General features: G+C 39.1%; 1 protein-coding gene across 1 annotated transcript in view, besides 2 other annotated features; it reads right to left on the bottom strand.

Moving 5' to 3' along the window:
• Window positions 1-25,703, bottom strand: part of ARHGAP24 (Rho GTPase activating protein 24) — a 527,517-nt gene that overhangs the window by 436,077 nt on the left and 65,737 nt on the right. The gene's annotated exons all lie outside the window — the stretch shown is intronic.
• Window positions 8,875-9,274: an enhancer, noted in NCBI's record as "active region_21692". NCBI's record gives its function as "activates an Ori minimal core promoter by ATAC-STARR-seq in GM12878 lymphoblastoid cells {active_cell/tissue: GM12878}" and the evidence as "EXISTENCE:reporter gene assay evidence [ECO:0000049][PMID:35858748]".
• Window positions 11,327-11,376: an enhancer, noted in NCBI's record as "active region_21691". NCBI's record gives its function as "activates an Ori minimal core promoter by ATAC-STARR-seq in GM12878 lymphoblastoid cells {active_cell/tissue: GM12878}" and the evidence as "EXISTENCE:reporter gene assay evidence [ECO:0000049][PMID:35858748]".

Genomic DNA, 25,703 nt, shown 5'->3' with positions numbered 1-25,703 from the left:
AAAAGAATCTCTACAAAGAATATTTTAGAGGCTTCTTTTTCATTGCATTTAATGCCTTAAAGAAGAATGTGTACGCTAAGAACTTGACTTTTTTCCTTTGACATAGAAGACTTCAATTAGCATGAAAATTGTTCTTAAACACAATGTCAAAATCATTACACTTGAAAGAACCTGAAACTGCCCTTATGAAAAAAAATTCAGAATTTATACTTTTTAGTCTTGGCAGGAAATACACATAACCAATTGTGGTTTAACACTAAGTACAGTTTATTCACTCAAATTCTCAGAGAATGATTTCACTGAATCTCCGCTGGGAAAATACTTTCACTGAAGTCAGGCCATGGTAGCTGGGTGGTATGTGAGATTACAAAATAGAGCTATCACCTTGGTTAGAAAACCAACATAACAATGAACAAAGTAATAATCTAAATAAACAGTTATTCCAAACTAAAACAAAAACAGAACTGAGAAATTAACCTGTGCCTTTGTATCAATCTTAAGACAAAAACCTTAATGATGGCTACTGTACCACGCCATAGCTAGACAGTTCTCAGCATTTGATGGGCTTGTAGCTTTTGAATTGTTTTCCAGAGGAGGAAACTGGTTTCAACAACTGTTTGTATGGTTCTTTGTTGCAACCAGATGGGCCAAGAACACAACAGTATGACATGGTGCAATCAGAGACGAAATTCATGCTCCTGAAAAACTCTTCTAAGAGTCAAACCATACACACATAGATATTTAGATGTGTGACTTCATTTCAACAAAGAATATATAAGCATGCGTATAAACAAGGATGTAAATAAAGAGGATGCCACATACCACAGAGTTGCAATGTATTTGAAATTACAATACCTTACTATACATGTTCAGCAAACATGAGAGAATGAAATAGTAGGAGAGAGCTAGAGAAAAGGAAAGAGGGCGAGGGAACAACTTAAATAACACAGGCAATTCCACCACAATGCATCCACTCAGTGAATGCACGCTCCCAGGGCAAGAGTGAAGGGGACCAAATACATCTCCATGCTTTCAATCAGTGTCAGTTTCCTTGGCGTCTGGTGGGGTGAGTGAGTATTTCACTGTATAAATGTGTTCCCAGAATTTGAGTGCACATGATTTCCTACCTCATGTCCCCTCAATCAGTCAAAGAAACAGTGATCTGTCCTATTGCTGGGGAAGAAAACAAAACAAAACTGGCAATGTTGGTAAAATACTGCAACCTATGAGAGATTTGTGGGACTTTGAGAAGAAATTTGGTCACAACCAATTGTCACCATTTGTGTTGACTTTAGAACATAAATCCTTTTCAAGATGTGATTCCACTGTACACAGTATATAACTGCAGAGAGCCAATATTTACCTAAATTCTACTTTTTCTTATTTTAAACAAAATAGTTTATTTTATAGGTATTGCTAATAGGCTGGTTTGTCAAGCGGCAGGATATTATATTGAGCTGTATGTCTACGTGCTAGGTATATCCTTTCTGTACATGACTGTTCACACTACAAAAACTTACAAAAGAAATGAGACAGCATGCGCATGTGTTTATAGGTATACATGCAAGTGCACATATGTGTATGGGTGTGTGTATGTGTGGGTGTATGGTGGGTGTGGGTATATATATATATATATATATATATATATATATATATATATATATACCGTGTGTGTTCTGCCTAGAGCAGGGGTCCCCAACCCCCTCGGCCACAGACCAGTACCAGTCTGTGGCCAGTTAGGAACGGGGCCACACAGCAGGAGGTGAGCTGTAGGCAAGCGAGCATTATTGCCTGAGCCTCATCTCCTGTCAGATCAGCAGTGGCATTAGATTCTCATAGGAGCTCAAACCCTATTGTGAACTGCCCAGCAAGGGATCTAGGTCGTGCGCTCCTTATGAGAATCTAACTAATGTCTGATGATCTGAAGTGTAACAGTTTCATCCCCAAACCATCTCCCCCTCACCCCGTGAAACTGGTCCCTGGTGTTAAAAAGGTTGCGGACCACTGCTCTAGAAAACAAAATCTTTTTTTTTTAATTTTTTTTTATTATTATACTTTAAGTTCTAGGATCCATGTGCACAACATGCAGGTTTGTTACATATGTATACATGTGCCATGTTGGTGTGCTGCACCCATTAACTCGTCATTTACATTAGGTATATCTCCTAATGCTATCCCCCCCGCTCCCCCCACCCCACAACAGGCCCCGGTGTGTGATGTTCCCCTTCCTGTGTCCAAGTGTTCTCATTGCTCAATTCCCACCTATGAGCGAGAACATACAGTGCTTGTTTTTTTTGTCCTTGCAGCCATAAAAAATGATGAGTTCATGTCCTTTTTAGGGACATGGATGAAGCTGGAAACCATCATTCTCAGCAAACTATCGCAAGAACAACATCTTTAACGACAAAATATTTGTTGGTATTCTTTTCTCATTTTTTAAATACTCAGTGCCATGGCACTGGAAGTCATGTAAGCATATGCCTGCAGATCTGACATTCTTTGATGAAGCAAAGGACATAAGAGTGTTGCCATCCAGTGTTTACTAAAAAACCTGATTGTGCTATTATTAAAGTCAATCAGTGGAGTGATAGATTTATTTTTATCATTTCTCAGAACATTTCCTCAATAACTGTAGCTGTGTACCTGATTTAGAACCTGGAACTCTTTTAGTGTCCTAAATATTTAAATAATTTCAGGATAAAATGACATAACAAGCATTTTTCTCATGTAAAGTCAGTCACCCCTTACTTGATTTAATGTGTTCAGCTCTCTACATTGGCTCAGCTGTGAATGTTGAATGTGAAAGTTGAATCCTACCAAATCTCTCCTTTGTCCATTTTCCAACTCCATCTAGATTTTCCCTGGATGCAATGAATGCCATCCTTCCTAATCCTCACTACCTATAGCAGAAGTTAGTGCCCCACAAAGAATCCTCTTACTTGTTGTTACGGACTGAATGTTTTGTGCCCTCCAAATTCATATGTTGAAGTCCCAACACCCAGTGTGATGGTATTTGGATATAGGGCCCTTAGGAGGTAATTAGGATTTGATGAGGTCATGAGGATGGGGTGCTGATCCAATGGGATTAGTGCCCTTATAAGAAGAGACACCAGAAAATTTGTGGTCTCTTTTTCTGCATCCACACAAAGAAGAGCTCATGTGAGCACACAGCAATATGTTGGTCGCCTACAAGCCAAGAAAAGAGGCTTCAGAACAAAACCTACCTTACCAGCACCTTGATCTTAGACTTCCCTGCCTCCAGAACTGTCAGAAATGAACTTCTGTTGTTTAAGCCACACAGTCTATGGTATCTTGCTATGGAAGCCTGAGAAGAATAAGATACCTGCCATTGTGCCCACTCCACCACAGGGTCTGAATGTTGGCTGGTCACCACAAACCTTAGCCAATGACTAACTAGAAAGGGAGTAACAAAGGCAGCCTTCTTGACTCATAGGGAACTTTGTATTTCAGTCTGTGCTCCAGAGCTTCTGCATGAGATTAGGTCAAAGCCAGTTTATACTGAACTTGATTCCCTGCCCCATCCTGCTTCCCTCACTTCCCTTCTCCTGAGTGCATTCCATAATAAATTACTTGAGCAACAATTCTCACCTCAAGCTCTGCTCTAGGAACTCTGGCCTTAGACTCTTCCAAGCTGCAGATGCTTCAACTTTTTGTCACCCTCACTACCCTTCCTAACCTCACCTACGGTAACAATGATAGTTCAACATTGAACTTAGTGTCATTCTTTCTTGCTAAATGTGGCAAAGCCTATTGTTGCCTTCAAGTTTCTGCCCACTTTCCTTGTCCCAATCACGCCATTCCTGATATTCTGCATCTCAGGTCTGGGGAAGCCAGGAACACAATTAGGATGAATTTGTCAGTACCACCTCCTAGTTTATGGATGGTTGGCTGAAAGTAAGAGTGTGGTAGGAGGATACTATTAGGGAGTATAAGTATAAATGGGAGGAATGCAAGTGGAATATGGAAGCACAGGTGGTGGTAGAGAGAAGGGGCAAGAGTCAAGGACAAACATTTTCATTTCCATCATAAAAGTCTAAATCTCCATGTTCTACCCTGTGTCAGACATAAAATTATGTAGCTATGTGGCTCAACCTTGAATAAAATCTTGTTCATACACACAGACAGACACACGTACACACACACACACAAATTCACATAAAACTAAGTGTACTGAGAATGAGCAATACCTTTAGAACTCATGGAGTGCCTACTCTGTAGAAGACACAGTGCAAATCCAGTGTCTTTCCTTGATTACTATCATAGTAATCACATCGCTTTCCTTGATTACTATCATAGCCTTCTATTTAATCTAATCTCTGATTTCATTCCTAGCACAGTGATATGATGGATTCTTTCCATAGCATTAGCATTTTCTTTTAGAAAGCAAATCAAGTCATGTTACCACCATTCTAAAACTATCTAATAGTTAAACACTTCCACTCAGAGTTAAATCCAAATTCTTTGTCACGGCCTATATGGCCCCTAACAATCCCTGCCTACCTTTCCTTGAACACTTCCCTCACATCTTTGAACAGCTAATTTCTCACCATTCAATTCTCAGTTCAATTCTCAGTTCAAATGTTGCCTTATTATAGATGCCCGCCTCGGCCTCCCTTACTAGAACCATCCTTCATCCCTCACCACATTCTATCATATTTCCTTATTTTATTTTTTCCACAGCACACGAGAATCCCTTTTGTATTCGGTTTTCCTTGTCATTTCTCTGTCTCCCCTTTGGCACATGAGCACCTTGAGGATGGAGGCCTTCTAACCAGTGTATTGAGCAGAGGTAGCAGAGAGTGGCCATTAAATACACAGTTACGTGTCGAATGCATGAACACCTCCTAAGGCATAAAACTACCAAAAAGCATAAAACTATAAAATGGTAAAAAAATATACCAGATAGCTAAAGATTCATACAAGAGCTAGGATGCAGAGAAGGACATATAGAAGGTTTTGCAAACATGTGCATTTACCAAAAACTACATAACGAAAAATATTTAAATAATTAGATCTTAGTGACTTACAATAAGGGGAAAAAGTAACTGCTAACTAAAGAAAACAGATGAGTTTTCTCAGTTCACTTTCTGTCCCCTCACTCTCCACCATACCACCTTTTTCTTGAAGAATAAATCAAAATGTGGTGCCGACAAGGGAATCAATCCTCTAGGTCCAAAATAACAAAGGATGTAATAGAGATTGTTTTAGCTCTGATACAAATTCCAGGAGCCTAAATATGTTTATGGGAAGCAATTGGATTTCTTAAAGTAGCTGGAAGGGCTTAGGACTTTCACCTGTGGTTTTCCCACTGCCTGGACATCATGGTTAACTTCTATTTATCCTTCAGGTCTTCTACAAAGGCTTCCCTGGTGCCACCACCACCCCGCTCTGAAAGTTCCCCTTGCATGATACCATCCTGGACATGACCCTTATCACATGTAGACCTTGTTTTTATTACTTCTCAGTGTTCTACACCACAATAGACTCCCTGGAACCCATCAGATGAACTAGAATATAGTGAATGCTCAAATAATTGTTAAATAAATGGCAAACTGATGAATAAGTGAATGAATGCTTCAATCCATCTTTGTGTTTCAGTCAGTCTTTGGGGTCTACATTAAAATTGACACCAAAGCCCTCAAAGATCCTGAGTACTGTACAAAAATCATAAAACATTTGCCGTTGTTACTAGACACAAATGCAAGGACATCATGACCAATTCTCTCTTTTAAACCTAACCCAAATTTAGTGGCTTAAAGCTAAACTGAACTTCAAAAATGATTGAACCAAGTGGATTGCCATTTGTCTCACTGGATGCTACTCTTAATCATGATTTGAGTTAAAAATAAACATTTCTTCTTGAAAATGAAAAGTATAACCATGAAAAGAACAATGGGAATTAAATGAAGCACAACAGCCACGAATATAAAGTCAAAAATAGTCACCAGAAGGGCATACCTGGGGGAACTTACGTACAGTTATTTTCATGAAGAAACACTACAAAATCCTGTTGCTTGATTAAATTGTTCAAAACATCACAGAATAGACAATAGCAAAAAATGATGTGTATATTGGGATGGATCAGGAACATCAATCTCCATATTATATTTTAAGCTTCAACGTTTCCGTATTCATTTGCTAAGAAATCAAAATGACTTACTGAAATGAACCATAAAAAAGGAAATTTCTCCTAAGAATTTAGCTTTTGTTGTCTACTTAATGCCTCATACATTGTAGAGAGAATCTTTTCCCTCTTAAGATGGCTTTAATTCAACTAGAGAGAAAATTATATATATTAATTTTAATATATGTATAATACTTTAATATATACTTAGAACTGCCCTTCACCACCACAGTGATATCTGAAGGACAAATAAAAAAGACAACCACTGGAATTCCCCATGCTGATAACCTGAGTAGAAACAAAAATCAAATCAAAACATATACTTTACCATTGATTGGGATTAAGAAAGAACTGCTGCTTGTGAAGCCCAAGGCAGACATTATTAATTAATCACCTGTGTTCACCCCCAGATGCCATCTCAATCCAGTACTCTAGGCAGTCACAACCAACCAATCATATATGGAAAGGTAAGAAAGACTCTTTGCTAATTCAATTCTGTAGACAAACTAAGAACTGAAGATATCCCTTAAATATCAAATAGAAACTCCAGTGCTTTTCCAAAAGCAATGGCATCTGAAACGGGAAAAGATGAGAAATTCAACTTATTTTAATGGAAAGTGAAGACGGCAACTATCATTTCATCATATGGCCACAGAGAAACAAAGAAAACAAGCCTGAAGCAGGGAAGATGAAAAGAAGTTGGATGTCTCTTATTTTATATTTATTAATTGAATCTGTGACTAGACCCCTCAAAATAGGATCAGAAACATGATGTTATAAACATCTCAATTTTTAAGCTTTTGTGTGTACTCCACTCCCTCACCCATAGTTTATTAATATGATTTTGTTTTGAAAAACTGTCACAAAGAAAAGAAATTTGGGGAGGCCCAGAAGGCTTCTGAAGATGTTGGTCCAAATATACAAAATGCCAATTAGACAGGAGGAAAATGTTCAAGAGGTCTATTGTATAACATGACTATAACAATGTATTGTGTTCTTAAACATTGCTAAGAGTAGATCTCAAGTGTTCTCATCACAAAAAATAAGGATGTGAGGTAATGTTTATGTTAATTTGTTCAATTTAGCCATTCCAGAATGTATGTGTATTTCCAAACATGATGTTGTACATGACCAATGTATATAATGTTTATTTGTCAATTAAAATGAACTCATTTATTAATTTTTAAGAGGTTTTCCACACCTAAATCTGAAAAGTAATAGGATTATAATACCCAAGGGATGGGAGAGCAATGGCAGTAATGAAGGAGAGCTTTATGCACATAGCAGAGAGAATTGAGAGAGGAAAGCTGAAGCCCGTATGACACTGAGAAAGTCAGCTGGGTCCTTTCCTCATTATGGGGAAATAACTGCTGTGCCTATAATTTATAGAGCCCCTCCAGCACTTTCCCTGATGTCTATAATTTTTAAGCTAAGATGAAAGCTTTCCTGAAACACTACTTTTAATATCAGGTTCCTTTAGTGAGTCTGACCTAGGAGAATCAAATGTTGTTGATTGCATTATCATTTCAAGCCCCTCAGTGGGGCCAGCTATTTATTCAACTACACTTCAAAGAAAATATTTTACAAGTGGGTAACTTTGATGGAGATAGTCATTTGTCTACAATGAACTCTCCAATTTTCTCCTTCAAATGAAAACCCCGAGGTACTTAATGATTTCCAATAAGGACCACTCATTTTTGTCAATTAATCCTGTGGGTGGAACATCGTCAGGCTTGCTCTAAAGCCTAGCAAAATGATTAGGCTTTCTAAGTATATAAATCTTGTGCTAATCACTAAACCACAGTTGCTCTCCCAGTGGTTTCTTATATGGAGGTATGGACAACACAACTTTTTTTTTTTTAGAATCTGAGGAAGGTAGGGAAAAACTTTTGTCAAAGTGAAAATAATAGCATCATTCATATTATGGTAGACTTTGATGTGTTAAACTGTGATCTTTGATGAAGTACTGCTATTCACATATAATTTGAACATATTTTAGCACTTCAAAATATCTGATTATTTCACACTTTAGTTTTAGATATGCTAAACAGAAATGTAGCTTTACTGCACCTGAATACATTTAATTAGCAGTTTAGAGAAAGAGAAATAAATCTTCTACATAAAACATAATTTTTTAAAATTAAGAAGTTTGGTGGCACATATGTTATTTGAAGTATCCAAGAGCCTGTCTCTGAGGACTCCCCTCTCCCTCATCCCATGTTTTTCTCGTTGATGCCACCATCCCTTTGCTAAAGGGATGGGCTTGAACTTAGTTGCTCATAGAACCTGAGCTCCCTAGCAACAGTGACTGGCCCAGGAAATGGACATGTGACTCAGACAGTGCCAAGTAGAGTCTTCCCTTAGGATAGGGAAGACACTGAAAGGATGAGCATCTGAGGTTGGCGGCATTCATCTTCCCTTTTAGCAAAGCCATTTGTAAAATGACGCTATGCAGAGACAAGCTGGTGTGAGAGAGGAATGGAGAGAGAACCCAAATACATTTGTAACCTGAGGAAAGGGAATGATTCACTTAGAAAGGATAAAGTAATAGCATAAAAATTATAATGTACACTTCATTAAAGATAAAAAATATGTGCTCATCAAAAGACATCACTAAGAATATGTAGTCTTCTGTGACCAGAGGAATTGGGAGATCCACAGGGAAAATGCCAGGATACCTGGAAGCTAGGAAATGATTACAGAAATATTTCTACATGGAGGCCAAGATGGCTGACTAGCAGCAGCCAGTGTGCACTGCTTTCACGGAGAGAATAAAGAGTGGTGGGTTGACACTAGCTCTTCAACCGGAACATCCAGGTGAACACATTGGGATTCATCAGGGAAACAGCATGACCCACAGAGAACAGAGAAGAGTGAGACAGGAAAACTGCCCACCTGGAGTGGCCCAGAGCCAGGGGAGTCACCACACTGGGGAAACAGTGAGTAAGTGAGAGTCCTCAGGGACCCACACTTCTACCACTTCTGCTCAGGAAATCCCCGCAAACTCCCCTGCTGCGGCCTCCAGACCAACACAGAGAACTACGTGGGAGTCTGGGCAGAGCCCTGCTCAAGCACACATGGAGTCCTGGGAGCCTTGGATCCTCAGGCACCCTGGCACCAGTGGCTGCAGGTCCAGCAATGGGGAAGGTCAGCCTCCCTCACATGCCTGCAGGAAAGGAACCAAATCCACAGCTGAGCAGTGATGGACTGCAAGCCATGCCTCCACTGCACCTTGCAGGATAAGGCCCATTGGCCTGGGGTGCTGGTGAGGCCACCCCAGCCCCACCTGAGTTCTTGGGCAGGGAGCAGCTCTGCAATTCCCTGGGACAGAGCTCCCAGAGGGAGAGGTAGCCTGCCATTTTTGTTTCTCTGCAACCCACCCTCCTGTTGCTCTCAGGCTCCAGAGGGTGTGCAGTGACTCGGGACTCTCCCAGACCCCCGGCAGAGCTGCCTTATGGAAAAGGGACAAGACTGTGTTCCACATAGGTCTCCACCTCTGCTACTGCTCACTGGGCAGGGCCTCCAAACCTGGGACTTTAGTGACCCCCTCCTGGGCTCTCAGAATGGTAGCAGCTCTACACTTTCCTGGGATAGAGCTCCTAGAGGGAGGCAGGGCACCATTTTTGCTGTCCTGCAGCCCTTGCTCCTATTGCCCTCAGGCTCAGGAGGGAGTGGAGTGGTTGGAGACCTATGGAGATGCCCAGCACAGTGCAGCCACCTTACAGAAAAGCAGCCAGACTGTTTTCCACATGCGTCCCCACCTCCCCTACCCTTCACTCGGCAGTGCCTGTTGACCTGGGCCCCCAATATGATTAACCTGCCCCCACCTGAACACTTTAGTCAGTGGTGGCTCTGCATTTCTCTGAGGAGGAAACCCCAGAGACAACCCAGAGCATGTATGACATTGCAGTTGCAGCAGTACTGCCCTGACTGTCCTCGGGCTGGGGAAGGAACAAAGGGCCTGGTTGCTATGCTGAAACCTCCAGCAAGCTGCAGCTATCATATGGAGAGGAGCCCAGTCTCTTTCCAGCGAGCTCCCACACCCCACTCTTCACCAGGCAGGGGTCTTGCCTCAAGATCACTGAAGAGCTCCTCCACCCGCAACTGAGAATTCCCATTGCTAATGGCTTTGTGTTTCCCTGGGGAGGTGATCCCAGAGGCAACCAACAGCCTCTCTGTACCTGATGCCCTCAGTCTGGGGAAGAAATAAAGAACCTGAGGGTTTTACTCATACTTCTAGCACACCACAGTTATTATATAGAGAGAAGCTCAGGCTCTCCTCTCTGTGAGCCCTCAAACCCCCACTCTTCACCCAGTCGGGCCCCAAGCTTGGGCCAGCAGTTGCAGTCACCCCCACCCACCAGCTGAACATTCCCAGTAGCAGTTGCTCTGTGTTTCTCTTGAGATGAAGCTTCCAGAGGCAACCAAAAGCCCCTCTGCCACTGCCATTGCAGTGGTACTGTCCTTGCTGCCCTCAGACTGGAAAAGGAGCAAAGACTCTCAGTGATTTAACCACACCTCCTTTAGGACAGCCACTGCTGTCCTAAAAAGAAGAAGCCAGTCAGTTTCCCCCCATGAGCCACCTGGCCTCTCTGCTCATCAATATGCAGGGCCCCCTGGCTTGAGTCCACAATGCAGCCACCCCACCCCAGGCTGATAGCCCCAACTGGGAGTGGCTCTGCCATTTTCTGATATGGAAACCTGAGAGACAAGTGAAAGGCCCTCTTCCACATGTCCCTACCCATGGCAAGGTCCCTTCTCCTGCTGCCTCCCAGCTAGAAAGGAACATAAAGCCTGAGCTCACCCAGGGCTGCAGTGTGCAGCCAAGAAGTGCCAAGCCAAGAGCTATAGCCAGGACTTGAGTGGGAGAGGATTCCACACTCTTAGAGCACAGAGAGGGAGCATATCGCAGTCATGAGGAAATACAAAGCAGTGAAGTGACTAAGCAAGAGCCTACCTACTGGTCATTATGCTTAAGCACCACCTACTTGATCACAACCCAAACTTCAACAACAAAAATACTTTGCTAATATAGGCCACCTTCTGCCCACACTGTGAAACCAAGGACAAGAACTCAGCCACAAATAAAGTTCCTGCACAAAGCCTCAACCCTCCAAAAACATCCTGAAAAGAAGTCAACTGACTGTACTCAAACTAAAGCACATGGTGGGGTGTGGCAGCTGCATTGAATCACCCCACACAGATGAGAAAGAACCAGCACAAGAACTCTGGCAACTCAAAAAGCCAGAGTGTCTGATTTCCTCAACAACTGCACTAGTTTCACAGCAGGAATTCTTAACCAGGATGAAAAGACTGAAATGAAAGAAATACAAATCAGAATATGGATAGGAACGAAGAGCATCAAGATTCAGGAGAAAGTCAAAACCCAATCCAAGAATTCTAAGGATTACAATAAAATATGATACAGGAGCAGTTAGATGAAATAGCCACTATAAGAAAGAACTGGCTGGGTGCGGTGGCTCATGCCTGTAATCCCAACACTTTGGGAGGCTGAGGTGGGCAGATCACGAGGTCAGGAGATTGAGAACATCCTGGCTAACACAGTGAAACCCCATCTCTACTAAAAATACAAAAAAAAAAAAAAAATCAGCTGGGCGTGATAGCGGGCACCTGTAGTCCCAGCTACTCAGGAGGCTGAGGCAGGAGAATGGCGTGAACCCGGGAGGTGGAGCTTGCAGTGGGCCAAGATAGCACCACTGCACTACAAACACTCCAGCCTGGGTGACAGAGTGAGACTCCATCTAAGAAGAAAAAATAATAATAATAAAAATAAAAAGAACCAAACTGATCTGATAGAGCTGAAAAACACACTACAATAATTTCATAATGCAATCACAAGCATTAACAGCAGAATAAATCAAGCTGAGGAAAAATCTCACAGCTCAAAGACTGGTTCTCTAAACTAACTTGAACAAAAATAAAAAATAAAGAATAAAAACGAGAAATATGGGATTATGTAAAGAGACCAAATCTATAATTCACCAGTGTCCTTGAAAGATATGAGGAGATAACAGGCAATTTGGAAAACATATTTTAAGATATTATCCATGAAAACTTCCTTAACCTCGCTAGAGATGCCAATGTTCAAAATCAGGAAATGCAGAGAATTTCTATGAGATATTACACAAGAAGACCATCCTCAAGATACAGAATCATCAGAGTCTCCCAGGTCAAAATGAAAGAAAAAATGTTAAAGGCAGCTAGAGAGAAGGCATAGGTGACCTAAAAAGTGAAACCCATCAAACTAACAGCAAACCTTTCAGCGGAAACTCCACAAACCAGAAGAGATTGAAGGCTTATATTCAGCATTTTTAAAGAAAAGAATTTGCAACCAATAATTTTATATCTAGCCAAACTAAGCATCATAAGCAAAGGAGAAGTAAGACAAGCAAATGGTGATGGAATCCATTAACCCTGGACATGCCTTACAAAAGGTTCTGTAAGGAGTGCTAAATATGGACAAGAAAGAATGTTATGCACCACTACAAAAACACACTTAAGTAAACTGACCACTGAGAATATAAGACAACCACAAAAACAAGTCTACATAATAACCATTTACCAACACCATGACAGGATCAAATCTCCACATACCAATATTAATGCTGGATGTAAATGGGCTCAATGGCACCAATTAAAAGGCACAGAGTAGCAAGCTGGATAAAGAAGCAAGACCCAATGGTATGCTGTCTTCTAGAGACTCATCTCACATGCAATTGAGAGGTGAAGCCAGCTGGGCTTCTGGGTCGGCTGGGGACTTGGACCACTTTTCTGTCTAGCCAAAGGATTGTAAATTCACCAATCAGTGCTCTGTGTCTAGCTAAAGGTTTGTAAATGCACCAATCAGTGCTCTGTGTCTAGCTAATCCGGTAGGGGACTTGGAGAACTTTTCTATCTAGCTAAAGGATTGTAAATGCACCAATCAGCGCTCTGTGTCTAGCTAAAGGTTTGTAAATGCACCAATCAGCACTCTGTAAAACAGACCAATCAGCACTCTGTAAAACGGACCAATCAGCACTATGTAAAATGGACCAATCAGCTCTCTGTAAAATGGACAAATCAGCAGGATGTGGGTGGGGCCAAATAAGGGAATAAAAGCAGGCCACCTGAGCCAGTAGCGGCAACCCACTGCGGGTCCCCTTCCCTGCTGTGTAAGCTTTGTTCTTTCACTCTTCACAGTAACTCTTGCTGCTGCTCACTGTTTGGGTCCACACTACCTTTATGAGCTGTAACACTCACCGAGAATGTCTGCAGCTTCACTCCTGAAGCCAGCGAGACCACAAACCCACTGGGAGGAATGAACAACTCTGGATGCACTGCCTTTATGAACTGTAATGCTCACTGCGAAGGTCTGCAGCTTCACTCCTGAAGCTAGTGAGACAACAAATCCACCGGGAGGAATGAGCAACTCTGGACACACCACCTTTATGAACTGTAACACTCGCTGCAAGGGTCTGCGGCTTCATTCTTGAAGTCAGCGAGACCAGCGAGACCAAGAATGCACCAGAAGGAACTAATTCTGGACACACAATGACATCCATAGGCTCAAAGTAAAGGGATAGAGAAAAATCTACCAAGCAGCGGTTGCTATCCTAATTTTAGTAAAACAGACTTTAAACCAAAAAAGATTTTTTAAAAAGACAAAGAAGGGACTGACATAATAGTAAAGTATTCAATTCAATAATACCTGACTATCCTAAATATATGTATGCACTTGACACAGGAGCACCAAGACTCATAGAGAAAGTTCTTAGATACCTACAAAGAGAGTAAGATTTCTACACAATAATCACGGGAGATGTCAATACCCCACTGATGGTATTAGACAGATCATAGAGGCACAAAGTTAACAAAAATATTCAGGACTTGAACTCAACACTTGACCAAATGGACCTAACAAATCTACAGAACTCTCCACTCAAAAACAACAGAATATACATTCTTCTCATCACAACATGGCATGGACTCTACAATCAACCACACAATTGGACATAAAACAATCAACAAATTCAAAAAAACTGAAATCATACCAACCACTCTCTCAGACCACAGCTCAACAAAAATAGAAATCAATACTAAGAAAATCACTCAAAACCATATAATTACATGGAATTTCAACAACCTGCTCCTGAATGACCTTTGGTTAATCAATGAAATTAAGGCAAAAATCATGAAATTCCTTGACTGTAATGAGAACAAAGATACAACATGCCAGAATGTCTAGGAAACAGCTAAAGCAGTGTTAAGAGGAAAGTTTATAGTGCTAAATGCCCACATGGAAAAGTCTGAAAGATCTCAAATTAACAACCTAACATCATCACCTAGGGGAACTAGAGAAACAAGAGCAAACCAACCCAAAAGCTAGCAGAAGACATGAAATAGCCAAAATCAGAGCTGAACTTAAGGAAATCAAGACTGGAATAAACATACAAAAGATAAAGATCAATGAATCCATGAGTTTTTTAAATAATAAATAAGGTAGACCATTAGCTAGCGTAATAATGAATAAAAGAAAGAAGGTCCAAATAAGCACAATAAGAAATGACAAAGGGACATGACCAATACACCACAGAAATACAAAAAAACCCTCAGAGACTACTATACAAAACTCTGTGCACACAAACTTAAAAACCTATGAGAAATGTATAAATTCCTGAAAACATACAACCTCCCAAGATTGAACTAGGAAGAAACTGAATCCCTGAACAGACCAATAATGAGTTCCAAAATTGAATCGGTAATAAAAAGGCTACAAATAAGAAAGAGCCAGGACCACAGCCAAATTCTACCAGATGTATAAAGAAGAGCTGTTACCATTTCTATTGAAACTATTCCAAAAATTTGAGGAGAAGGAACTCCTCTCCAACTCATTCTATAAGGCCAGCATCATTCTGATACCAAAACCCAGGAGACATACAACAACAACAACAAAAAGAAAATGTCAGGCCGATATCCTTGATGCACATAGATGCAAAAATCCTCAACAGAATACTAACCATCTGAATCCAGGAGCACACTGAATAGCTAATCCACCATGATCAAGTAGGCTTTATCCCTGGGATGCAAGGTTGGTTCAATATATACAAATCAATAAATGTGATCCATCATATAAACAGAACTAAAAACAAAAGCCACACGATTATCTCAATAGATTCAGAAAAGGCTTTTGATAAAATTCAACATCCCTTCAGGTTAAAACCCTCAACAAACTAGGCATTGAACAAACATACTTTAAAATAATAAAAGCCATCTATGACAAACCCACAACAAACATCATACTGAATGGACAAAAGCTAGAAGCATTCCCCTTGAAAACCAGCACAAGACAGGGATGCCCTCTCTCACCACTCCTATTCAACATAGTAATGGAAGTCTTGGTCAGAGAAATCAGGCAAGAGAAAGAAATAAAATATCTAGATAGTAAGAGAGACCATCAAACTATTGCTGTTTGCAGATGATATGATTCTATTCCTATAAAACCTTGTTGTATCAGCCCCAAAATTCCTTGATCTAATAAACAACTTCAGCAAAGTTTCAGGGCACAAAATTCAGTAGCATTCCTATATAACATTTAAGCTGAGAGCCAGATCAAGAATGCAATCCCATTTACAACAGCCACAAAAAGAATAAAATACCTAGGAATACATCTAACCAGGGAGGTGAAAGATCTCCATAACAAGAATTATAAAACACTACTCAAAGACATGAGAAATGACAGAAATAAATGGAAAAACATTCCATGCTCAGGGATAAGAAGAATCAATATTGGTATAACAAACATACTGCCAAAAGCAATTTACAGATTCAATGCTATTCCTATCAAACTACCAATGGCATTCATCACAGAATTAGGAAAAAAAAAGACTTTTAAAATTCAAGTTGAACCAAATAAGAGATTTAATAGCCAAGACAACCTTAAGCAAAAAGAACAAAGCTGGAGGCATTATGTTACCCAGCTTTACATTATACTACAAGCCTACAGTAACCAAACAGCATGATATTGTTACAAAAACAGATACATAGACCAACGGAACAGAATAGAGAGCCCAAAAATAACGCCAGACACCTACAACCATCTGATCTTCAAGAAAGTTGACAAAAACAAGCAATGGGGAAAGAATTCCCTATTCAATAAATGTGCTGGGATTACTGGCTAGCCATATGCAGAAGATTGAAACTGGACCCTTTCCTTATACCATACATATGGTGGGTATGTAAATTTGTTCGGCCATTGTGAAAAGCAGTTTGGTGATTTCTCAAAGAACTCAAATCAGAATTACTACTCAATACAGCAATCCCATTATTGAGTACATACCCAAAGGAATATAAATCATTTTACCATAAAGACACATGCATATTTATGTTCATCACTGTACTATTCACAATAGCAAAGATGTGGAATCAGCCTAAGTGCTAATCAATGTTAGATTGGATAAAGAAAATGTGGTACATATGTACCATGGAATACTATGTAGCCATAAAAAAGGAGATCATGCCCTTTGCAACAACATAGAGCTGGAGACCATTATGCTAAGAGAACTGACACAGGAACAGAAAACCAAATACTGCATGTTCTCACTTATATGTGGGAGCTAAACATTGAGTACACATTGGCACAAAGAAGGGAGCGAGAGATGCCAGGGCCTACTTGAGGGTAGAGGGAGGGAGCAGCATAAGGATCAAAAAACTACCTGTGGAGCACTGTGCTTATTACCTGGGGTAGTGAAATAATCTGTACACGAAACTCCTGAAACATGCAATTTACCCATATAACACACCTGCACATTTACACATGAACCTGAAATAAAAGTTAAAAAGAAAAACAGTGTATAGGCAAGCCAGAGACTGTCAGAAAATATTTGCAAAGCATATATCTGTTAAAAAAACTTATATCCATAATATACAAATGACTCCTACAACTCAATCTAATTAAGAAAATGAGAAAAGATTTAAATAGGCACTTCACAGAGGAACAAACAGAAATACCCAATAATCTCATGAAACAGTCCTAGCATCATTAGATATCAGAGAATTGCACATTATAAACACAATCCGGTATCATTACATGCCCATTTGAATGGCTAAAATTTAAAAAGACTGACAATACCAAATGTTGATGAGGATATGAAATAACTAGAATGTTCATATATTGCTGGTGAAAGTGTAAATGGTGCAACCACTTTAACAAAATGTTTGGCAATTTCTTATAAAATTAAATATACCTGTATCTATGACTTAGTGATTCCAATTCAGACGTTCAACCAAGAGAAATGGAATCCTTATGTTCTCAAGATTTACACAAAAATGTTCATTGTAGTTTTATTTATATTAGCCAGAAACTGGAAGTAACCCAAATGCTACTCATCAAGAGGGAACAGATAAACAAAGAGCATGGCTTGGTTTCTTTTAGCAACCAAAAGAAACAAACTGTAGATATACATATAACAACATGTATAAATCCAGCAGTCATTATAATGAGTGAAAGAAGCCAGATACAGAAGAGTCACTGCACGATTCCATAAATAGAAGTTCTAGATGAGGCAAAACTAGCCTATAGTGATAGAAATCAGGAAACTAGCTACTCCTGAGGGGTATATACTGACGGGAAAGGGGCACAAGGGACCTTTCTAAGGTGATGGAAATGTCTTACATCTTGATGAGACAGGAGAAACATGGGTCTAGATGTTTGTCTAATTTCCTGAACTATGCACTTGATATCTGTGCACAAATTATTTTGCTCTAGTAAATTTTATTCCAAAAAGCTGTTAAAAAGTTGAATTCTAGTTAGTAGATTTGCTTTTCTGGCTGTGGTGTAGGTTAGCAATTCTGAAATTGCTTTCTTGTATTCCAAGTCGAGCAAACAGACACATATATTGAATATAACAAATGTGAAGTTAGGTTTCTTACTTTTGGAAAAGAGTTACAAATGAGAAAATTAGGACACCAGAATGCATCCTGTAGTTTGAGACTGGAATCAGAGGTATCAGTATGAACTCATGGTTTTTCATCGATAGGCACATAGATATAGAAATAAAAATCAACATATATTCACTAATGCTTCTGGCTGACAGGGCCTAGAAGTATTAACATATCAGTAGCAACGAGTACACCTAGTGTCCAGATCTTGACTTCTAAATGCCATCCACTTCTCAATGGAAGCAAAGCTGTGTGGATGAAAGGCTGATTCCAGGGTGTGGACAAGGAAAATACAAAATGAGCCTAGAATAACATGTGCCAGAAAGTAAGGAAATCCTCAAGAATGATGGGGAGGTATCAAAAGGCACAAAAACTAATATGAAGTGGCTTTCAATGGATAAATCTGGGAAAATTTGAGCATCTGAATAAATAATAATAGTATTTAAATATTTACGGCTATAATGGATTATAGACATAGAATAAAACAAGAATACATGAATCCCATTGATATCATAAATAAACAAATAAATAAATGAGAGACATGGGAAAGCTCTTCCTTTCAGCAGAATGTCAATTATTCAATTTGAAAGGAATAATGGAATTACAAATTAACAATGGATGCAAAAACTAGTAGGTAGAAGTTTGACAGAAAAAAGATATTTAAATAGTGTCAAAGTTTCTTCTTACAAATTAATTATTATTTAGCAAGGGTGAAACACTCGTTTTACTGTGGAGAAACCTGGCAGACACAGTGATCAAAGTTTACATTGCCAGCCAGGCACAGTGGCTCAAGCCTGTAAACCCAGCACTTCGGGAGGCTGAGGTGGGCGGATTGCTTGAGCTCAGGTGTTTGAGACCAGCCTGGGGCAACATAATGAAAACCCATCTCCACAAAATTACAAAATTTAGCTGGGCATGGTGGTGCGTGACTGTAGTCTCAGCTACTCAAGAGGCTGAGGTGGGAAAATCATCTGATCCTGGGAGGTCGAGACTACAGTGACCTGTGATCGCACCACTACTCTCCAGTCCAGGTGACAGAGAGAGATTCTGTCTGAAAAAAAAAAATTACATTGCCAGTATTGAATACACTGACATCATGTGCCTCCTGAAATCATGTGCTGAGAACACAACATCACTTCTGTAGTATTCTTGCCAAAAATGTATATTCTGAATCCAATTATGGATAAACAGACAAATAAAACTGAGGGACATATTGCAAAATAGCTAGCCGTGTTTTCAAAACTCTCAAGGTCAAGAAAGACAAAGAAAGGTGAGGAACTGTCCCAGGTGAAAGTACACTAAAGAGACAGGACAACTAAGCTCAATGCTTGATTTGGGCTTGGATCTTGAGCCAAAAAACAAACAGAGAAAGGAGACAATATAGGGCAAATAGATGAAATGTGAATATAAACTGTGGAATAGATAATATTGTATTCATGTTACATTTTCTTTTTTTGATCATTTCATAACTGCAGTTATGACAGAAATTGTACTTGTTCTTTGGAAATACACACTCAAGAATTTATGGGTAAAGGGATGAGATGCCTCCAACTCACTTTCAAACACTTCAGAAAAAAATAATAAATACATAGAGACATATTAATAGAATAATAAAGCATATGAAAAAGAATGTAAATAATTGAAGGTGAAGGGTGCTCAGAAGTTCCTAGTACTATTCCTCTAACTTTTCTATAAGTGCAAAAGTATGTGAAAATAATAAGTAAAAACAAACAACACACATGGCTTAGTGCAAGAAGATACTAATGAGATGCAAATTATGTTCTTCTTTGGACCACCACCAATAGGTTTCAAGTAGTGCTATTATAATTGAAAGGTTACTATGCTAGAAGTTGGTAAACATGTCTTTGGAATTAATTTGACCTTGAGAAAGTCATTGAATTTTCTTGGCCTTAGTGCTTTGAGCCCCCAGATAAAGAGGCTGAATGAACTATTTGACATCTAAGATTTCTGTTAATTCTAAAATGTTGTAATTCTTAGAAATGATCTTTTAACAGAATTGTGCTTCCACAGGTAATATGATTAGTAGGATAGATTTTCTAGTTCAGTTACAGTTAAAACTCATAGAGGTAAAAGGGCAGTAAGTAGAGTAGAAATGTTTTTCTATTCTCAATTCTCTTTATTTAATTGCTATGCCATTTTAGCATCTTATCTTTTTTTTTTAATTTCATGCCTCAGTTTAGAAAACATTAACTACCACTGGACCTGTATATGTTGTTCTCTTTGCTTTCAGTTAGAAATATGATTTTTATTTATTTAATAAATAATATAGCATTTACCATATGCTCACTGTTCCAAGTGGTGTGTGTACGTAAATTCATGTGTGTATATGCTTATGCATATGCATGTGTATAAACTCATTTAACTATCATAATAACCCTATGAAGTATGTACTATTATTATTTCCACTTTATAGGCAGGGAAACTAAGGTACAAAAAGATACCTACAGTCCTACTGCTAATAAGTGGCTGTTTTAAAACAATTAGACATCTGAACCTGGGTAGTATGGCTACAGAGATTATATTCTTAACTACTACTTTATATTGCCTCTCAAATATTATGTAAATGTAATTTCTAGTGTAGAATAGCCCCAGACATTCAAAAATTCCATGACAAAAAGTAGGCTTGGTTATCAAACTATTTATGTATTTATGCTTTTGCCAAAATCTGATACCTGGATTTTGACCCATATATTAATACATATCATATACATGTTGTATATGCATAGCCTCATGTTCCAGATCTACTGCTAATATTTTCTCATCTTGATATTTATGCATATATATTTCATTTTGAGTTTTTACATTTAAAGTGCTGAGACTTGGCACATCCTTCCATGTGAACTTTCTGCCACATTGACTTTGCTCTTTCCCCTTCAGCAGCTTGGAAGCAGTAACGTGAAAGGGCTCAGAAGCTGTCTCTTGCGCATCCTTTGCAGAAAGCAGCAAATGAAGCACAGCCCTGCTGCAGCATACCTGATAGTCTCAGCCCAAGGGGAAAGAATGAGGCTCATGCGCTAGGTCCTTTATGAAGAGAAAATTAGCAATGAAAGTGACATAGTACTTTTTGCCTTTAAAAAAAGGAAACTGGGCCAGGTGTGGTGGCTCACGTCTGTAATCCCAGCACTTTCGGGGGCTGAGGTGGGTGGATCACCTGAGGTTAGGAGTTTGAGACCAGCCTGGCCAACTTGGCGAAACCCCGTCTCTACTAAAAATACAAAAATTAGCCCGGTGTGGTGGTGGGTGCCTGTAATCCCAGCTACTCGGGAGGCTGAGGCAGGAGAATCGCTTGAACCCACGAGGCGGAGGTTGCAGTGAGCAGAGATCGCGCCATTGCATTCCAGCCTGGGCGACAAGTAAAACTCCATCTCAAATTAAAAAATTTAAAAAAAAAAGAAACTGTAGAGCACTGGATCATTTTAGTTGAGAAAGTACAAGGATATAAGTCCTAAGAATTTCATGATAGCATGGCTAGTGAGTGTTAATTCAGTCCGTGTGACACGATCTGCAGTCACCTGTGTAGCGCAGTCAGGCCTCCCTAGATGCTAGGGAGTTACTCATGCAAATCAAACCCCAAGCTCAACTTTCAAGAGAACTGGACTGGCGAAAAAAAGAAAAGCTGAACAACTGTTAAGAAAAGGTGTTTTAAATGCCAGTGGAATTATCTGAGAAAGATGAAAGGCAGGGAGTTGTAACAATTGTAAGGACTAACTGGAATCCATCATATTTTAACATGTCTGACTCATTGTCTTGCAAAAAAATTTACATATATGTATGTGTATATATATATGTATGTGTGTATATATATATACATATATGTATGTATATAAATGGCTTCACATAAATTCCAAATACTCCTGAAAAAACCCTTAAAATTAGAGCTGATGGCCCTGCTATATATAGGATCCAAGAGGCTAAAGTAACTTTCTCAAGGCATAAACCCAGCAAGTATCTGAGAAAGAACATGAATGTACATTTTTTGATCTAGATGCTGAAGTTTTTCCCTTCCTTTTGTTCCTATTGAACAATACCACTTCACATTTAGACCATCAGCTTATACAGTTCAGTACCTTATACTAACTAGGGTTTCCAAAATGTAAAGAAATGAATAAAGGAATAATTAAACAGAAAGTAGGCACTTGAATATTTAATAGATTAAAGCTTAACATAGTTACAAAAATGTCTAAGACAAAATTAACAAATCATTGAGGAAATACTCTAATAGTATTTACTTTTCATAGTGATACTTTAGAATTTCAAGAATTTAAACATAAAATGGAGACATTAAATTAAGGGTCATTTACAAAAATTTGCATATTGAGAATTATCAGCCTGGCAGTAGTACTGACAGGTGGGCCCCTTATGGACTCAGAAACTGGGAAGACAATGAAGTCATCATTTAGATGAGAGGCAAAAGGCTGGCAGTGGGAGGAGAACAAAGCTGTTTAGCATGGAGAGAATGAGAATGGTGGAGTAAAGGAATGTTTTGGTTGTGGGAGCAGGAAAAATTACATCATCAACTGTTGGTGTAGTTGAGACAAGGAGGATGATGATTTAATCTGGGTTATTTAGCTTTCTGTGAATGATGAAACTACTATGAACTGCTACTAACTACTACTTCTACTACGACTACTACTAAAACTACTACTAACTACTAACTCAAATTACAACCTTCAAGTGAAAAGAAAAATAAAACATATTTTAAGGATTATAGGAAAAAAATTCTGCTTCCTAACACGGCTATGGAATGTAACATTCAGATCAATCAAATATGAAGACTAGTGATGTCGTCTTACATAACATAAACAAGTAGCCAATTTCCAATTAATTAGAAAAAATAATCATATTATTAACACTATCATAAACACAATTCAGGCTTGATTTAAGATTCAGAAGCCATTCAGAATCTTGTAATACTATAAAATCAGTTAGTAGTAGTTTTATCATTCACAGAATGCTAAATAACCTGGATTCAATCATCATTTCACCTTTCCCAACTATACCAACAGTAGAAGATGTCATTCTTCCCGCTCCCACAACCAAAACATTTCTTTAGTCTGTCCTCCGCATTCCCTCCATGCTAACCAGCTTTGTCCACCCTTCACTGCCAGCCCTTTGCCTCACATCTAAATGATGACTTCATTGTTCTTCCCAGTTTTAGAGCTTCTAGAGGCTCACCTCTCAGTACTATCACCAGGCCGATACTTCTGAAACATGTGTTTTATATAATCCAAAACTTTCAATAGCTGCCAAATGCAGAGCATGCCATGTTCAAACTTAGTCTCATGTTCAAGGTGTCATAATCTAGCCCAATATACCTTTCCAATTTATTGTTCATTATTTTCCTCCAGTAAGTGCCCTATGAGGGAGTCTTCCAAATCTGTCTATTCCATGTAACCCAAATATGCAGTGCTCGTCCTTGCCTCTTTCTTATTGGAACTTACTACAGCTAAAATTAGCAGCAGCATCGTTAGCAGCAGCTTCAAGAGCAAACGTTATATATTATTTACTATGGACCAGGCAATGTTGTAAGTGCTTAATACATATAACTCACATAATCCTCACAATAACCCCGTTAAATAGATGCTATTATTATCATCCCTATTTCACAGATGGTCCAAAACAACTAAGTAACTCATGCAAGTTCACACAGCTAGTAAAAGAATAGAACCAGAATTCAAGCCAAGCAGTTTGGTTCCAAAATTCTACACTCAACCACTATCAATATGTCTCTCAATTACCTATTAATACACTGTATTCATTGTCAGAAATTTAACTAGTCATTAATTATTTCATACATGCTACTTTTATCTCTTTAATGTCTTTATTTCTTTTGTTTTATTTCCCCCTTTAATATTGAATATATAGTTAGCTCTAAGCATGACTGTCCCTAAGGGAGACCATTTTATTCAAATATTTTATCTGAAAAGCATACATATGAAAAGCATAGATTCATGCATTCTGATTAGTCAAACTGCACAGAAATAGATTTCCTACCGCCAACAGAGTCATTTGAAACAGGGCTGGCCTGTGGCAAGGGGACTGAGAGGAGAAAGATGGGACCATGCGCTAGGCAGTAGCTACAAGAGAATTCCTACATCAGAGGCTCTGCAGGACAGCTTTCTGCTTGCAAGGTGGACCAGAGATTCAAAAAACTTGCTTTGAAGCTATAGTTAACAAACAAGTACACTTACTTCAATTATAGGTTGTATATCAATAAAAATAGCAGCATTTCCCAAGGATATTCTTACTTATACGCTACATAAGATTAGGAAAGCATACACAAGCCATATTAATTAAATTAATAATTCATTAAATTAAGCATTGAGGAGAGTGGACTGCACCCCACTAACACCTCAAAATTTTATTGAGCCACTGGTGACTGACGCATGCTGATGACCTGATGAAGGAAGAGTTAAAGGTTTTAAGATGCTTATAGAAGGGTCACCTCTTTACTTTCAAATGAAGCATAACTCCTGTAAGCTTTTTGAAGGAGAAGCACTATTTTAAAATACTTATGCATAGGAATACATATATAAAACTCTAAGTCTAGAAATTTGGGTAAAATTCTAATTTCTTTCTAATAGTGTACTAGGTCAGGCCTTCCACACTATCGTGAAGAATAAAAGCTCATTGTTTGAGGTCCAACTCAAACGTCAACCCACCTGTGAAGTTTTCTTCTGCATAATTAATCACTCCTTCTTCTGTTTTTTTATGGCATTTTATAAGTATCTCTATTGTTTCAGTGATTACGTGATATAATTACTACTTAGAAAATGTGCTGATCTTGACTTCTAGCCTGTTATCAACCCAAATATCTATCAAGAATTGAATGAATAAACTATGATATCATCATGCAATTGGTACAACTCAGCAATGAAAAGGAACTGATTACTAATTTTTGAAATAATATGGATTATTTTCAAAAAATTATGTTAAGCTAAAGACGCTAGACACAAAAAAATATATATTGTTGTCAAGAATTGTGAAGGATCTGGGATTTTACCCAATGAGCAAGTTATTAAAGGTCATGGATGGGCCGGGCGCGGTGGCTCACGCCTGTAATCCCAGCACTTTGGGAGGCCGAGGCGGGCGGATCACGAGGTCAGGAGATCAAGACCATCCCGGCTAAAATGGTGAAACCCCGTCTCTACTAAAAATACAAAAAATTAGCCGGGCGTAGTGGCGGGCGCCTGTAGTCCCAGCTACTTGGGAGGCTGAGGCAGGAGAATGGCGTGAACCCGGGAGGCGGAGCTTGCAGTGAGCCGAGATACCGCCACTGCACTCCAGCCTGGGCGACAGAGCGAGACTCCGTCTCAAAAAAAAAAAAAAAAAAAAAAAAAAAAAGGTCATGGATGCTAGCAGAAGACACAAGACTCCTGGGTCAAAAACGGAGGACTGTTATTCACAGCAATAGGATCAGTGAAAGTATCACACCTGCACAAATACCGGATTGTGTTACAGGCAAGAAACCTACAGTTTTGGGAACCTAAATCTATTATAATATATATTAAGCCCAGAGGGACACATTATCTTTAGTAAACTGCACAGTAACAAACCTTCCCTTTTGTAAGGAGTAAGACATCTTTAGCTTCCAAGGCTG

Source organism: Homo sapiens, chromosome 4 (genome assembly GCF_000001405.40).
Source record: "Homo sapiens chromosome 4, GRCh38.p14 Primary Assembly".
NCBI lineage: Eukaryota > Metazoa > Chordata > Mammalia > Primates > Hominidae > Homo > Homo sapiens.
The sequence above is the reverse complement of the archived record's forward strand: the minus strand, read 5'-3'. Positions and strand labels throughout refer to the sequence as shown.